Source organism: Homo sapiens, chromosome 1 (genome assembly GCF_000001405.40).
Source record: "Homo sapiens chromosome 1, GRCh38.p14 Primary Assembly".
Lineage (NCBI taxonomy): Eukaryota > Metazoa > Chordata > Mammalia > Primates > Hominidae > Homo > Homo sapiens.
Genome location: NC_000001.11, coordinates 86714245 through 86730114, shown reverse-complemented (window position 1 = coordinate 86730114; position 15870 = coordinate 86714245). Strand labels below are relative to the sequence as shown.

The window sequence follows — 15870 nt, the reverse complement described above, 5'->3', positions numbered from 1 at the left end:
TACTTTTGTCACCTCCTCTGCCCAAATCTAGCCAGCATTAAAAATTAGAGAAAAATATAAAGCATGAAAGTTGGAATTTATTTTCTACAACTTAGTATAGAAAAATATAAATATTTGTTTAAATGGCATACTCTTTTTCAGAATCATATTTATAGATTAAACACAGTAGTAACTAAATCGGTACAGCTTAACATACTGTGAAAGTATGACTTTTATATGTATCATTGCTATCAATTTTAAAATCTTATGTTAAATCTACAGTTTTCCCAAATTGAGAACACCTAACCTTTCTTAGCTCCAGTATTCTCATCTGGAAAATTAGAGATTTGGACTAAATGATTTCAAATTTCTCATTTAGGTATAAATTCTAACATTTTAGGAAATGAAGCAAAGCAAGGATTAATGGCTGCTGAAACAGTCTTTTTGGAGAGAAACAATAAGCTGGAGATATAATAAATATAAAATGACCAGCTGTAAATATATATTACTATAAGATTACATTAATAGTAAACACAAATGATTAATGAAACAAAGTCCTGTTAATTGTTTAGAATTATGTTTTTACCTCAGACAAAAAGAAAAGCTATGCTTTATATTTTAAATTAGCAATGACTGAAATATCCTCACGCTTTTCATTTACCTATAGATAGGACAATGGAAACACATTAATGCATTCTCTTGCTATCTAAGGTAAGCCCTAATTCAGCCAGGGCTTCAGTAATTACCATTTAAAAAAAAACAAAAACAAAAATGCATTTTATATATTCTGTACAATAATCTTTCCTATTACTTTCCTGCTTTTGGTTTAATGCTAGTGAATGAAAGCAGCCAATTAATTGCCAATGTATTAGCTGTACTGCAGATCCCTTGACACTTCTAATGAAGTAATATATCTAGAAATAAAATAAAACACACTATATACTTTTTATTGGTTAATGTGCACAAATTGTTGGCTATGTTCAGATTTTACAACTTTCTATTTTACTAAAATAAAAAACTTCTAATAGCTCAAAAATTTTCTCAAACTAAGCTCAACATATACATTGGATACCATAAAACAATCTGCATTCTCTATTCTTTCCCAAGGCTATCACCATTCCACCAAAACTTTCTTAAGTGAGTTAGCACTGGGTGGAAAATAAGCCTGGCCATTACAGGAGTACCTAACCTAATGGGGTCTGTCTTGGCCTGAAATGGCAGAAAAAATTAATTCTATGTTGAGTTTGGGTGAAAATAAGGTAAATCTTGAAGCTACTGAGCAGCAAAGGCAATGTGTTTACCTTACACCTTTCTTTAAGTATATTTTGTTAATTTTCTTTGCCAAAAGTGAAAATATAAATGCCAGCTTAAATTAGCACCTTTTAGTCAGTGCAAAAAGGCACTATATATTTATGTATAAATTCATATTCTAAAATCTGTATTTGGCATAAACACTATATTTGGCAATCAGAACATACAATTTCTTTTAAAGTTCCAGTATTACTTCAGCTAGTATTTTTTCCTTATATTTTTGTTGTTAAAGATAAATGAATACATGGTTCCAATTATTTCAAAATTTTACAAGCGGCTAATAGCAAGAGAAGGCACTTTATTCAAGATGTAGAAAACACAGTAGGCCAACAAACCTTCAGCCATTTTACATGCAGGAAGTTGAGCATGTAAGAGAAATTTACCATAATGTTATCTCCTTCAAGGCGAGCTGAGTTTAGTTGCTTAAGTGCATAGTAAGAGACAAAGAACACATTATACCAATGAACACAGTGAAACAAATTACTTCTTCACAATAAATAACACATTAAACAAGTAAAAGAGCCAATCAAATATTTTTTTCTATTAAAAAACCCCCACTACATTTATTGTTCTGTGAAACTGCATATAGTGGTGCCTATTCATTTTTTTCCCCAAAATTCAAATTTTCAAAACAAAATATGTTGATGCTTGACTTTAAATGAGAATCATTTAGGGAAAATGTATCATTTTTAAAACTGCCAGTTACCTACAATTTTTATTAAATTTTCACTAAGAAAGTCCTACCTAACCCCAAATTTTCCTATTCAAAGATCATTTCTATTTTATGAATTTATGATGCCTTCAACCACATTCTCTTTCAATCAGCCTCAGCCAGGTCTTGGCATACTCTGAAGTCTTAAAGGCATGTCAATCCTTACATTTCTAGTAAACCTTAAATTCAAACATGTGTTCTTAAAGGCTATACTGATGGTGCTCTAAATTTATTGAGTTTACAGATTAAAGATTTACACTGCTGTGGAAATGCTTAAGTTTGCTATATGATGTTAAAGAAATATTTTCCATCAAATTTGGATGTCCCAAAATTAACAGAGGTCTAAACCACTAAATACTGCAGAGCTTTGAAATCAGCTGATTTTTATCTTTAACATTACTAAAACTGTAAAATAATTTTTAAGTTTAGATTTAGACTAAAATTGGATTCGTAAATGTAGGTGCCTTATAATTGAAATGCATTACAGTTTTGTATCCCTTAGGCAAAATGCCTGGGACCAGAAGTGTTTCAGATTTCTGGTTTTGGAATATTTGCATTATACTTACTGGCTAAGGAACCCTAAAGTGAAAAGCTCCAATAAGCATTTCTTTTGAGCGTCATAAAGGCACTCAAAGAACTTCATATTTTAAAGCATTTCAGATTTCAGGTTTTTGGATTTGGGATATTCAACCTGTAATTATTTTTGTTCTTGCTTCTCTGGTATATTTTATCATATACACAATCTATTTTTCAAAACTGTATTTTTGTTCATTGTGAAACATTAAAGTGGGCTTTCTTTCTGCTTAATTGGTATATTTTTGAGAAATGCCTTTGATGTTGCTTTACCATTCTTCAATATGCTAACTGATAAAACAGCAATATTAGATACAAGCAGAAATTCTTTACTGATAGGGCTAAATCATCAAAAAGTATGATCTGTTGTACCAGATTGTGAACTGAGGGCGGCAGAGATTTTACATCATTTATCTATGAACTCCTCAGTACAGTACCTTGCACAAAATTAGCATTTAGTAAACACAGAACTTAAAAAGAGTCACAAGAAACTAGTAAGTAAATTACTTAAAAAGTGTCAATATGGATAGATCCCAAACCTTACTAGCAGAGTAACTAGTTGCAAAACAATCCATGGAAATTTATAAAGACGTGAAGTCAAAGTAATTCTAAGGTCAGATTAACCACTTCAGTTGCCAACTAGGAACCAGGAAATGTATCAAAGAAAGGAAAAAAAAAGCAAACTCCTAGTGATTCTTCAAGTAAATGCAAAGAAATACAGGGGGGAAAAAAAGGATCACCAAATACAGGAATACCTCCAGGCTTTATGTAATAATAAACTAAGAGAACTTTTTCTTCCCAAAGTATTTCAGACTTAACTGCTATAAAGTTTGAAGAAAAATGTGTTGGTTATCTAGGGGAAAAATACAATTAAAATCAGGAAATCGAACTTCCTGTCTAGACTAAAAAAATAGTATTTGGCTATAGTTAAATTTTGCTGTATGTAATACGTAAGTTCTAGAATAGCTGTGTATAAATAAAATTGCTGAACTGAATAAAATCATTTGTATCATCTTTTACTTTAAACATAAATTCCCATAGAAAAAAAACCTTTATCCTCAAAAATACGCAGCAGAGAAAAATTGCCAAGATCTTTTCTAGATATCTCAAAAAGGAAACATCTCTCAAAATTGGTCTACTATTATATTTAGGTTCTATATATTTTAATAGCAGTGGTAAAATAATTTAGAAATATTAAAGGACTTTGTACACTGTTAAATCTATATGTGTGTGCTTTCTGGAACTTTTCCAGGTAGAAAAGCAGACGGTCATTCCTGTAATAGTGCTTTTTAAACAAAGTTTTGTACTGAAACTTGGTAACAGTATTTTTATTCCACAATTATCACTGGGCACATATAGGCATCTTGAATAAAGACATTCTGTCCCAGTTAAAATATCTATTTCCAAATGATCCTTTTTTCCTGAGTATGAAATTTCTATCTTTAAAAACTAGTTTATAATTTACTTTTCAAATTAATTATTAGCAACTAGAAACTAATAAAAGAATTCAAGGTCTCCTGCTATCTATAGTGTTCATTTTCAAAGTTCTGATGCTGCAGATAGTCTGTTTAGGGAAGTTTTGTTGTTTGTGATAATGATGTAATGATAAACTGTGAAGTGAAAATGCCAGTAAATTTGGAATTAATGTCTTATCAAAGATAGCTCTTCTCTAGCAGTAACTAATACAGTATCTCCAAAAAAGAAAAAAACCATAGACAAAAATAACTTATTCTGCTCATACAAGGTATTAGGGTAGTCTCGTAAGACATTACTATCCAATACCAAGTTAATCAGTTTTAAATTTCACTCTAAACCAATTTTCAACCTTTTTATCTCCCAAACAAGAGAACTATAAGACAGTACCAGCACTGTGGTAATATGCTCATTAACGCAATGATTCTTGATGTTGGCAGTGGTAGTGACTTGGAAACAGAAGGCAGGGGTACTATCATACCATAGCTCAAATTAAGTATTAACTTGTTAGCTTCTTCTAACAAATTCATACTTGGTTTATTTTATACTATTTTAAAGTTATTCCAATTCAAATCTGATATTTTCAAATTCTGGAATAATATAGACAGTATAACTTGGATTAACTAAAAAGCTTATAAATAAATCTTTAAAGAAAAATTTAATTATATTTAATATATACCTACTCAATATTCTGAGGTTTTCTGGAATATATACTAGAATTTATTTATCCAAATGAGTTTCCTCGCATTCAACATCGTTGCCTGAAAGTCCATACTGCCACTGTTGGTTTGAATGGTTTTGGAACTATTCTTGGTGAACATTCTTTTAGTTAGTTTGAGCAGTGTGTGGAAAGGGAACTGATCTAATTTTTAAGTCACACACAAGTATTCTCAAACTTGAGTCTCATCTTAATTACTATCTTTTCTGCTATTTCCAATTATAATAAATCTATCTCCAAAAATATTTGCGACCACTGACGATATTTAAAAAAAATGACACATTAGGAGCTACCATAATTTTTGTTTTTTAGCAGCAGCTATATAGCTAAATATCACGTGTGTGTGTGTATATACACACATATATATATTTTATATATATACACATATGTATTATATATTTTATATATATACACACACATATATATTATATATTTTATATATATATATATATATATTTTTTTTTTTTTTTTTTTAAAGACAGGGTCTGGCTCTGTTGCCCAGGCTGGAGTGCAGTGGCGCAAACTTGGCTCACTGCAACCTCCACCTCCCACACTCAAGAGATTCTCCCATCTCAGCCTCCTGAGTAGCTGGGACTACAGGTGGGTGCCACCATGCCCGTTCATTTTTGTACTTTCTGTAGAGAGACGGGGCTGTGCCATGTTGCCCAGGCTGGTCTCAAACTCCTGGGCTCAAGCCATCTGCCTGCCTCAGCCTCCTAAAGTGCTGGGATAGCAGGCATGCGCCACTGTGCCTGGCCATGAATATCACCTTTTTGATATGACTACTTTGCAGTGATTTGGATGTATTAAGTTCTGATAAATTTGTTTAGAAAGCACAAAAACAAGACTCTAAAGTTAATAGTCTGTATCTTTCATGGTTTATTAGCAAAATATTTTACAAATCTTAAAGTTATTAATCAAAAATATTTTTCTATTTACTTACTGAATTTCTAGTTTCTGCAGCTTTTGCCTTTTTTAGTCTCGTTTTTGCAGCATCCAAATCCAGTCTCTTATTTTGCAATAGTTTCCTTTCTTTCTATAAATATAGAAAAGAAAAAATAAGGGCTAAAGATGCTAAAATTCTGTTAAGAGCATACACATTTAAAGTATTATTCCCTAGTAAACATATGTATCACTTGATAAAGATCTATGACTACAAAATTGGCTATAAAGTTACCATTCATGTATCTGCCCCCCCCCACCCCCTTGTTACTGTTTTAAATTTTAAAATAAATAATTGAAACATTGTAAGTGTCTGGGAAAGATGGCAGGCAATGATGGAAACAAAGGAATATCAGTTTTAATATTTTATGATCCTGTCCCTGCCTCGGGAACATTTGGCAATACCTTTTTGGTTGTCACAATTGGTGGAGGGATGTTATTGGAGTCTGCTAGCCAGAAGCCAGAAATGTTGCCAAACATTCCACAAGACAGTCTATCTTTACAAGGAATTGTGCAGCCCAAAACGTCATTAGTGGCCAGACTGACTTTCAAATTGTTACAGATTATCCAGAAAGTGCCTAGAAAGAAGGAAGTATACGCCTGGGGCAAGGGTTCCTTGACGCCTGGTGTCCTACCTCAAGGATTGGGTGGGCTGCACTTAATGTGTCATAGCACCAAATGCAACCCAACCACTCCAAAATGGAATTTCAAACTTACAGAATAATGAATAAACATTAGTATAGTATCTTAGAATTCTTCAGGGAATTTCAAGCTTCTGTATAGTATGTAAGTTTATTATAATTCAGTTTGCTTTAATCTTAGATTCCATATGTCAAATTTCATTGCACTGATAAGCTAATTTTTATTTTATTTTATTTTATTTCACTTTTTTTGAGATGGAGTCTCACTCTGTCCCCCAGGCTGGAGTGCAGTGGCACGATCTTGGCTCACTGCAACCTCCGCCTCCAGGGTTCAAGCAATTCTCCTACCTCAGCTTCCCAAGTAGCTGGAATTACAGGCACCTGCCACCATGCCCAGCTAATTTTTTTGTATTTTTAGTAGAGACGGGGTTTCACCATGTTGGCCAGGCTGGTTTCAAACTCCTGACCTCAAGTGATCCACCCACCTTGACCTCCCAAAGTGCTAGGATTACAGGCGTTAGCCATCACGCCCGGCTGCTAATATCTTTTAAATCATACTTTAACTTGATAGTTCTTCTGTCTCAGGCCAAATATTTGTTTATACAGAGACAAATCCATTGTGAACATATTCAAAGTTTCTATAATATATTGTAATAGGAAATCTGCAAATTAAAGTTTGAAGTATTTATAAGAGCAGCTTTGTAAAACTCTTAGAAAATTTTCATTCTCTATCACTAAGAAAATAAGTTAAAATCCTAAAAAATGAAGAGCTACACGGTATATATACTATGGTGATATTTTAGACCATATTTTCATAATCATTCCAGGAACCTCTCTATAGATTTTAGCGTTGGTAATGAATGAAAAGGGATAAAGGCATCTCAATAACACTGTAGGACACACAAATGGAGTAAATGTTCAGTAGTCTTTTATTTTGGTTTAATTTTGTGTTCTGGTGAACATGCACTGACCTAGATTATTTAATTTTGTAATCCACTACATCTACACAGTCATTAAGAGGCCAAATTATTCATTAAAAAGTATATATATCTAAATGATTTTACTAAATAAAGGGGACATTTTTCAACTCACAGCAATTGTTTTGTAATCTCCTTCTATAAAGTTTCTTAAAGGAGTAAGAAAATTTAAGGCTGACGTTTGAATCAGTTCTCTGTCTGCTGTTCCAATTCTTTTTTGGGTTTCTCCACATTTAATAAGGGCATTACCTGCAAAGGAAAAATGTTTTTAAAAATCATTGTCTGGTAATACCAGAAAATAAAATCATGTAAAGATAAATCAGCAATTTGGTCTGTTTAAAAGTTAGCTGTAACTTGCTTGCTAAAGTAAAACCAAATAGAATTAACTGTAATTAAGGTAGTTTTATTTTAAAAGTAAATTTAAGAGTATGTGTCTAAATGAAGGAGACAAAGATGAACTTCCTATTGTAGCATAGATAATTGTACCAATTCTACCAATGGGACTAAAGAGGGCAAATATACCCCAAAATATTTACGGTCACAGTCGGCCCTCTGTATCTATGGGTTCTGCATCCATGGATTCAACCAACCACGATCAAAAACATTCAGAAAAAAAAAAAAAAGGATGGCTGAGGAGCCAGGCACAGTGGTGGCATATGTCTGCAGTCCCAGCTACTCCAAAGCTGAGGGAGGAGGATCGTTTGAGCCCAGGAGTTTAAGGCCAGCCTGGGCAACACAGCAGGGCCTGTCACTATTAAAAAAAAAAAAAAAAAAAAAAGATGGTTGCCTCTGTACTGAACATGTACAGACTTTTCTCCCTTGTCATTATTTCCTAAAAAATACAGCATAACAACTATTTACACAGCATTTACATTCAGATGATTTAAAGTACGAGGGAGGATGTGCATAGGTTATATGCAAACACTATGCCATTTTATATGACACCTGAGTATCCATGGATTTTGGTATCCTCAGGGTGGCGGGCCTGGATCCAATCCCCCATGGATATCGAGGGGTGACTGTGGTTATACTTATAAAAGTATAATGCTTCCAAGAGATCAAGTCACAATTTGTCCTGTTTCTACATCCTTGCAGTTATCATCTGAAGTATCTATAAGTAATAGTTCATAGTGATATCTTAAGTTAAAAAATCCATGCTTTTGCAATACATATACTCTGATACTTAAATAGGGCAAGTACAGTACAAAGTAGAGTAGAAAGAAAGGAAGCCCCAAGATCAGGGTTCCACTCCTAGTTTTACTTCTAATAAGCTTTAGCTCTAAGGATCTTAATCCCTTCATGTTAGGATAAGCTTTGATCTGACTGATAAGGAAGGTAATACAGATAGTAGTTAAGAGCTCCGTCACTGGATACAGACAGATCTTCATTTGAATTACTATACTAGCTGTGACTGTGGATTAATTATTTAACTTCTCCAAACCTGTTTCCTTGTCTTTAAAATGAAGGTAATATAATTTATCTTAAAAGCAGGATATAAATGAGAATTAATATGTAAATATATATACTATATAATGCTTAGCCCATGCCTGTGATACTCAATTTTTAGTATTAATTACTAATAAGGTAATAGGTTCACAAAGCCCAATTCTAATAACCAGGGTACATTCACTAGAATTACTAGAGGTGCAAACAGATTAAGCAGATTTAAAAGGGAAGAAAATCTAGAAGCCTTTACTAATGTTCATGCTCTGCTAAAACCTTCTTCAGCCTGGTGAAGGAAGGGGCTGCTGGGTTCCTTTCACATACCTTTATGATCCCAGCATCTAACTGAGCTTGGCACAAGTAGGCAATAAAACATCTGTTTAATGTATAACATTTTTCTAAAAATTAACAGTAAAATTCAGAAATAATTTTATTTTGAAGTTCTAAGCATTTTCAAACTTAAAAATTAGATTTTGAAGAACACAATGTAGAAGTTTCAAAGTTGTGTACCTAAAAAAGCCTGTCAATGGATTAGTGGCATTCAACAATATTTAGGTTATTTCTTTCTGACATAAAGATAACTACTAAAGCTTAAAATTCATTTAATCCTAGAATTTATAAACCATTCTGTAAATCAGAACTATGTGTAGAAATTAATTTAATCTACCTACCATTTCATATCCAAAGACCAGTATCTTGCAGATGTATAAAGAGAATTATTATTAGACATAAACAACAGGAAAAGAAGCTACTGAAATCTGTAACAGTCTCATGTTATGAGAAAATTAGAGTGACAATAAAGATGTGTATGTAACTTTGAGCTTCAGGGCTATACATTTAAAGTCTGTACAGCAACTAATAAAGCGAGTGTAACTAAACCACGGCTATAGAAAATTTGAAATACATAAGAGAAAAACAGAAATGAAATGTAATCCAAATATCCAGAGATAACAATTGTTAATATTTTTTGGTTACTGACATTACTGCAAAATTATAACAAAAGCACTGATTTGTTCAAGAACTACGTGCCAAGTACCTTTAACATAAAATAAGCCCTAAGAAAGCTTTTTTAAAAATGAAGAGACATATGCAAACAATAATTGCAATATCACAAGTATTATAACATAGGTATTGTAAGATCACTGGGAGAACAAGTGAAGAATTCATTAAACTTTTTAGAACTAAAAAAGATGTGAATTCTCTGAATAACTAAATATATGCTTGAATATATTAAATATTACATTTAACTGTATATATTTGCCTATATTTCTCACTTCATCAAAAATTTTTAACATAAATTTGAAGTTAAAACCAATTCTACTACTATGTTTTTTTTTTTTTTTTTTTTTTGAGACAGAGTCTCGTTCTGTGGCCCAGGCTGGAGTGCAGTGGTGTGATCTTGGCTCACTGCAAGCTCCACGTCCAAGGTTCACGCCATTCTCCTGCCTCAGCCTCCCAAGTAGCTGGGACTACAGGTGTCTGCCACCACACCCAGCTAATTTTTTGTTATTTTTAGTAGAGACGGGGTTTCACCATGTTAGCCAGGATAGTCTCGATCTCCTGACCTCATGATCCGCCCACCTCAACCACCCAAAGTGCTGGGATTACAGGTGTGAGCCACTGCACCCGGCCTACTAATATGTTAATGACATCTCTAATAAATCTAAACATAAAGATATCCCTTATTAGAACTTTTTGCATTTCACTTACCATAAGCTGTTCCTGGGCCAAACTCAGTCCCTGCATCAATCATATATTGTCCCAAAAGTTCTGGGTTGTTTATACGACTTGGAGCTTTTCTATCCAGTTTCTCATAAACAAATTCTTCTATCCTGGCATCTAGGAGAAAGGTTAAAATTACCAATGATTTCTAAAAAGCAAAACTAATTAGAAGATTGTTTTTTTCCCCCATCAGCAGCCATTTATCATCTCCTAAAGTTAGCATTCATTCAAGCACATATCTTAATAAATAATTTTTTAAATTTTATGTTAGACTATTATATAACTAAAAAATTATATTTTAGAAATTTGATAAAATATCTTGGCACAAAAGCATTTTAAAATAAAATAAAATTATTATTTGAGTATTCTACAAGATTTTAAGTTCCAGAAAAGGACTGATTAATTCACTTAATATTTATTGAAGGTGTCTTTGCCCTGTTTGTAGCATTTTAACTCTAATTTTTACTCTGAATGTACATTCATAATTTCAAAATCAGGATTTCTGGCTAGGAAAATACAGATATAAAGTACCTGGAAGAACCAAAGACTTACATCTGACAGCTTTAGCATGAGCATTTGCTCTCTCTTTTTCTTGCCTAGAGTCTAAATATAGACACAGGCGCTTAAGGCATAGAACAATCCAGGCTTGGAATAGTCTACAGACAGATCAGCAATATGATGCCTTGGCTTTAGTTTATGTTTAAAGTATACAAGTATATCTCTGAGCATGCATTCACTCAAAAGATTTCATCATTAAAAATAAGTTTAAAATACGAAAGGTTAAAGCAATAATAGAACATTAGAATAAATGGAAAGGGGAAAAAAACAAAAGCTGAATAAACACTTGGTTAGCAAAATGCTTAAGACCAAAGATATTAACATTTACAATGCTGTCCAACCTAGAGGTATTTCAGGACAAGTGAAAAAATGGCTTAAGTTTCCAGAAACAACGATTAAGCATAAATTGAAGCTAAGTCAAATAGGTTCCCTCTAAGTACCTCACATAGATTCCTACGCATGCGGAAGTTTCACACAGTGCACTGAAAATTTAAAAAATGAGCTGAACCAGTAACAGAAACATTTCAGGAGTTGGTAAAAGGCTTAGTTATAATACATAAAATAGAGTATAGCAATGATACTTGCTTTTGTGGTAGATTCTAGTACAAAATCAGAAGTTTTAAAGCAGAAATTAAATACCTTTAAATAGTTAAAACCAAAAAGAGCTTTTTAAAACATAACCATTTAGAAGATACTAGTTAAATTTCAGAACTTCATTTTGGCCCGGTGTGGTGGTACATGCCTGTAATCCCAGCACTTTGGGAGGCCAAGGCAGGTAGACCACTTGATGTCAGGAGTTTGAGACCAGCCTGGCTGACATGGTGAAACCCCGTCTCTACTAAAAAAAAAAATACAAAAATTAGCTAGGTGTGGTAGCGCATGCCTGTAATCCCAACTACTCGGGAAGCTGAGGCAGGACAATCACTTGAACCCAGGAGGCAGATCTTGCAGTAAGCAGAGATTGTGCCACTGCACTCCAGCCCAGGTGAAAGAGTGAGACTCTGTCTCAAAAAAAAAAAAAAACAGCTTTGTGTTTTGACTCTGATTCTTAATTTTGACTGCTTTTCCACCTATCTGGCCAAAAGTTTAAAATGGAATCTTATGCTGACTTCGTTCAGTTAATAAAATATTTGGAATACTAATAAATGTTTAATTTCAATAGGTTATAATAAAATCTTAAATATGCAGGCAACTCTGCTACAATGTAATATGTATTTCTGCATAACGTATTTTTGAAAAACCCATTTCCAGAAGATCATACATTGAAAACAACATAGGAATTACAAGAAAAGGAGTGTTAGGTTTGGCTGCTCAAAACCTATGTAACTTAATAACCAGAGCACAGGCTGGGCATGGTGGCTCACACGTGTAATCCCAGCGCTTTGGGAGGCTGAGGCGGGCAGATTACCTGAGGTCGGGAGTTCGAGACCAGCCTGGCCAACATGGAGAAACCCTGTCTCTACTAAAAATACAAAAATTAGCCGGGTATGGTGGTGGACACCTGTAATCCCAGCTACTCTCAGCAGGCAGAGGCAGGAAAATCGCTTGAACCCAGGAGGTGGAGGTTGCAGTGAACCAAGATCACACCACTGCACTCCAGCCTGGGTGACACAGCAAGACTCTGTCTCAAACAAAACAAAACAAAACAAAACAAAAAAACCACAGCACAAACAAAAAACAAAAACAATTATTACGACTTCCTGGCACAAAACAGGGGCAGGAGGAAATTGTATTTTATTTCCCTGTTTACCAGTTGTGAATGAGCTTATTTCCCATTCAGAAAAATATGTTTAGAACAAGGGGAAAAATGTCTATTACTTTTAATAAAAGTGCCAGAGTGTAGAATTTAAATGGCCTTAAATGAATAAAAAATATTACATGGTGTCCAAAGACATTAGGACTCACTCAAAGTGCAAAAAGCTTATTTTATTTCCAACTTTTATTTTAGTTCAAGGAGTACACATGCAGATTTGCTACCTGGGTATACTGAATGATGCTGAAGTTTGGGGTACACATGAACCTGTTACCCAGGTACTGAGCACAGAACTCAACAGTTAAGTTTTTCAACCAAAAGGTGTATTTAAAAAGTCACTACTATTTAACTAAAATGATAGAGAACTGCTAATATTTATATAGTGCTTGAAGTTTAAGTTAGTATCTAAAAGTAAGCATATGTCATATCACAACTTGGTCCCAAACAAGTTGGGGAAAAAAGAAGGAAAGCATACATTGTACCTTTGTTCTTCAGTTTTGATATGCAAAGCTCACAGTGAAAAGACTGGATGTTCATACACCCGGTTCTAGTCCAATTTCCACTTCTAATTAGCTATGCTACATTTGACAAGATGCTAACTCATGAGTTTCATTCACTAAACAATTATGCACCTTAACTGCAAGATTATTGAGTTGACTTATCTGAAAATCTCATAGTTGTCTGAAGATGAAATGAAATAATTTATGTGAAAATGTAAAACTTAAACATAGGCGGGGCGCAGTGGCTTATGGCTGTCATCCCAGTACTTTGGGAGGCCGAGGCAGGTGGATCACGAGGTCAGGAGTTCGAGACTAGGCTGGACAACATGGTGAAACCCTATCTCTACTAAAGACACACACACAAAAAAAAATTAGCTGGGCGTGGTGGCACATGCCTGTAATCCCAGCTACTTGGGAGGCTGAGGCAGAAGAATTGCTTCAACCTGGGAGGTGGAGGTTGCAGTGAGCCAAGATCACACCATTGCACTCCAGCATGGGCGACAGGGCGAGACTCTGTCTCAAAAAACAAACAAACAAACAAACAAACAAACAAAAAAACACACCAAAAACTTAAACATAAAAAATGGTACCTACTTAAGCAACTATATAACTTTGTCTTAATTATCTAGGGACAATTCTTCCCTAGATGAAAAAGGAAAACATATTTATATACACAGCTGCTCATAAATTAAAATTCAAAGTCACTGCCTAAAATTGAGATTTTTTACAAGGATTCTATAAAAGACTGAAAAATATCATTTTAAAATTGGTTAGGTACATAGCTGTTTATCACTTCCTCTTCACAAAAGCACACACAAAAAAACCCACTGACCTTGAAGCTACAATAAAAAAATCCTATGTTTTCAGATGGCCATTAAAACTTTTTTTTTTAACATTTAAAAACCCACTAATAGTACTTAAGGTACACAAGAGGTAGAGTTTCTTACTTGGATTTGGCTGCAATAACACTTCAGTTTGTTTCATTATTTTTTCTGTCCATATTTTGGTACATTCAGCTTTGCTAAGGAGGTTCTCTAAGTGAGCATCCAATTCTGTCTTCTCAGCCTGGCCAAGCTTTTCTTCTGTGAACTGTTATTGATTGTAAAACAAAAATTAAATATACTGCAAATAAATTTTAGGGAACCATATCAATAAGTAAAAAGCAAATTCAAAGCTAAACAATCCTAAACATACAAATAACCATGCTCCAGCTTTGTAAGCCATTGCTTATGAATACTTTTTTTTGCTCCTATGGTAATTTATCCATACTTCTTTTGTGGATGACCCTACCTTACAGTCATCACATACCCTTAGTTCTGCTAAAATGTATGGTGTGAATTCTACAGAAAACCTAAGTATACTTCTTGGTATATAAAGCATGCAACTATTTCAACTACCTATCCTAGGTAGACTAGGATAACGGTAAAGAGTAAGAGCTTTGAGTCAGTTGAATCTGAATTCAAATCTTAACTTTGTTCCTTGCTGTGTGAGCTGAGCAATGTATTGAATATTTTTTCTTTAGTACCCTCTATTATAAAAGAGAGACAATACATATTTTATAGTGTTTGGGGGATTAAGTATGATTGTGTATGCAAATCACTTTGTTTGGTGCCTTGTAATTATTAAGTTTTGAAAGAGCTGTTAATGTTTATTGTGGTTTATGTCTTATTAGCACTTTAATCACACCTAGTTAGATAAATAGTTTCCCAGAACATACCATAAAACCTGTCATTTAAGCTGCTGAGGATATGTTCCAGCAATTTATTTATAGACTAACTTTTGGAACATATCCTATTCATACTATGAAGACATCTTTTAAAGGTCATAAAATGTGGTTAAACGTACTCAATGAATCAATTTTTATTATTGAATATACTGGTATTTGAGAAAAGGTAGCACTGCCTATATAATAATAAAGCAGTAAAAAGATTCTGTGTAGATCTACAGCCTTCTGGATACTTTTAATTAAACATTAGAGGTGATGACTCAAGCTGTTTATCATGCATCATTTTCCTCTAGAATATGTGGCTTCCTCCCATCTTAACACAGGTATATCACTAGCATTAATTCTGTGCTCAGTAATGACTCACTTCTGGCTGACAAAACAGTGTTCACCTTGCCTTTCTCTCCTTTCGTTTCTCAAAAATCTCGTTTGCTACTCTATTTTCTGAGTTTTATTGTTTCTTTCAGCATCCTTCTTCTTGGTTTAATACTTTCAGGTTATTATCAACACCTTAAGCTGAAGGATCCTCTAGAATTCTATTCTTAGACTTCTGGTTACAATCTCCACTGAGGCTCCTGTTTAGGGGCTAGAAATAACAGCTTAAATAGCTTTTGTAAAGCCTTGGGTCTTTTTGAGAATGGTCTATAGCCAGCCCCTGACCTAGTGGGTAGAACCAAAAATAGCAGTTACAAAGCTATTGCCTAAGCCCATAAACTTGCAGTGTAGCTGGAGGACTGGGCACTGAGCAAAAGCAAACCCTGATCCCAAGGCCAGCTGGATAAACTATGCAACCTCATTCTTAACAGAGAACCCCGTAGTCTTTACAGATCCCTGAAGATTCTAAG

General features: G+C 33.9%; 1 protein-coding gene across 9 annotated transcripts in view; it reads right to left on the bottom strand.

Moving 5' to 3' along the window:
• Window positions 1-15870, bottom strand: part of SH3GLB1 (SH3 domain containing GRB2 like, endophilin B1) — a 43609-nt gene that overhangs the window by 18070 nt on the left and 9669 nt on the right. For 2 of the 9 annotated variants that reach the window (XM_006710672.3, XM_017001409.2), the window contains exons 2-7: window positions 14250-14391; window positions 10480-10608; window positions 7442-7575; window positions 5710-5802; window positions 1626-1712; window positions 4-27 (exon numbers count right to left, since the gene is read on the bottom strand). In XM_006710672.3, the coding sequence (XP_006710735.1) occupies window positions 4-27; window positions 1626-1712; window positions 5710-5802; window positions 7442-7575; window positions 10480-10608; window positions 14250-14391 (609 nt within the window). The remainder of the gene's footprint in view (window positions 1-3; window positions 28-1625; window positions 1713-5709; window positions 5803-7441; window positions 7576-10479; window positions 10609-14249; window positions 14392-15870) is intronic. The other 7 variants (NM_001206652.2, XM_017001410.3, NM_001206651.2 and 4 more) reach the window with 6 other exon arrangements.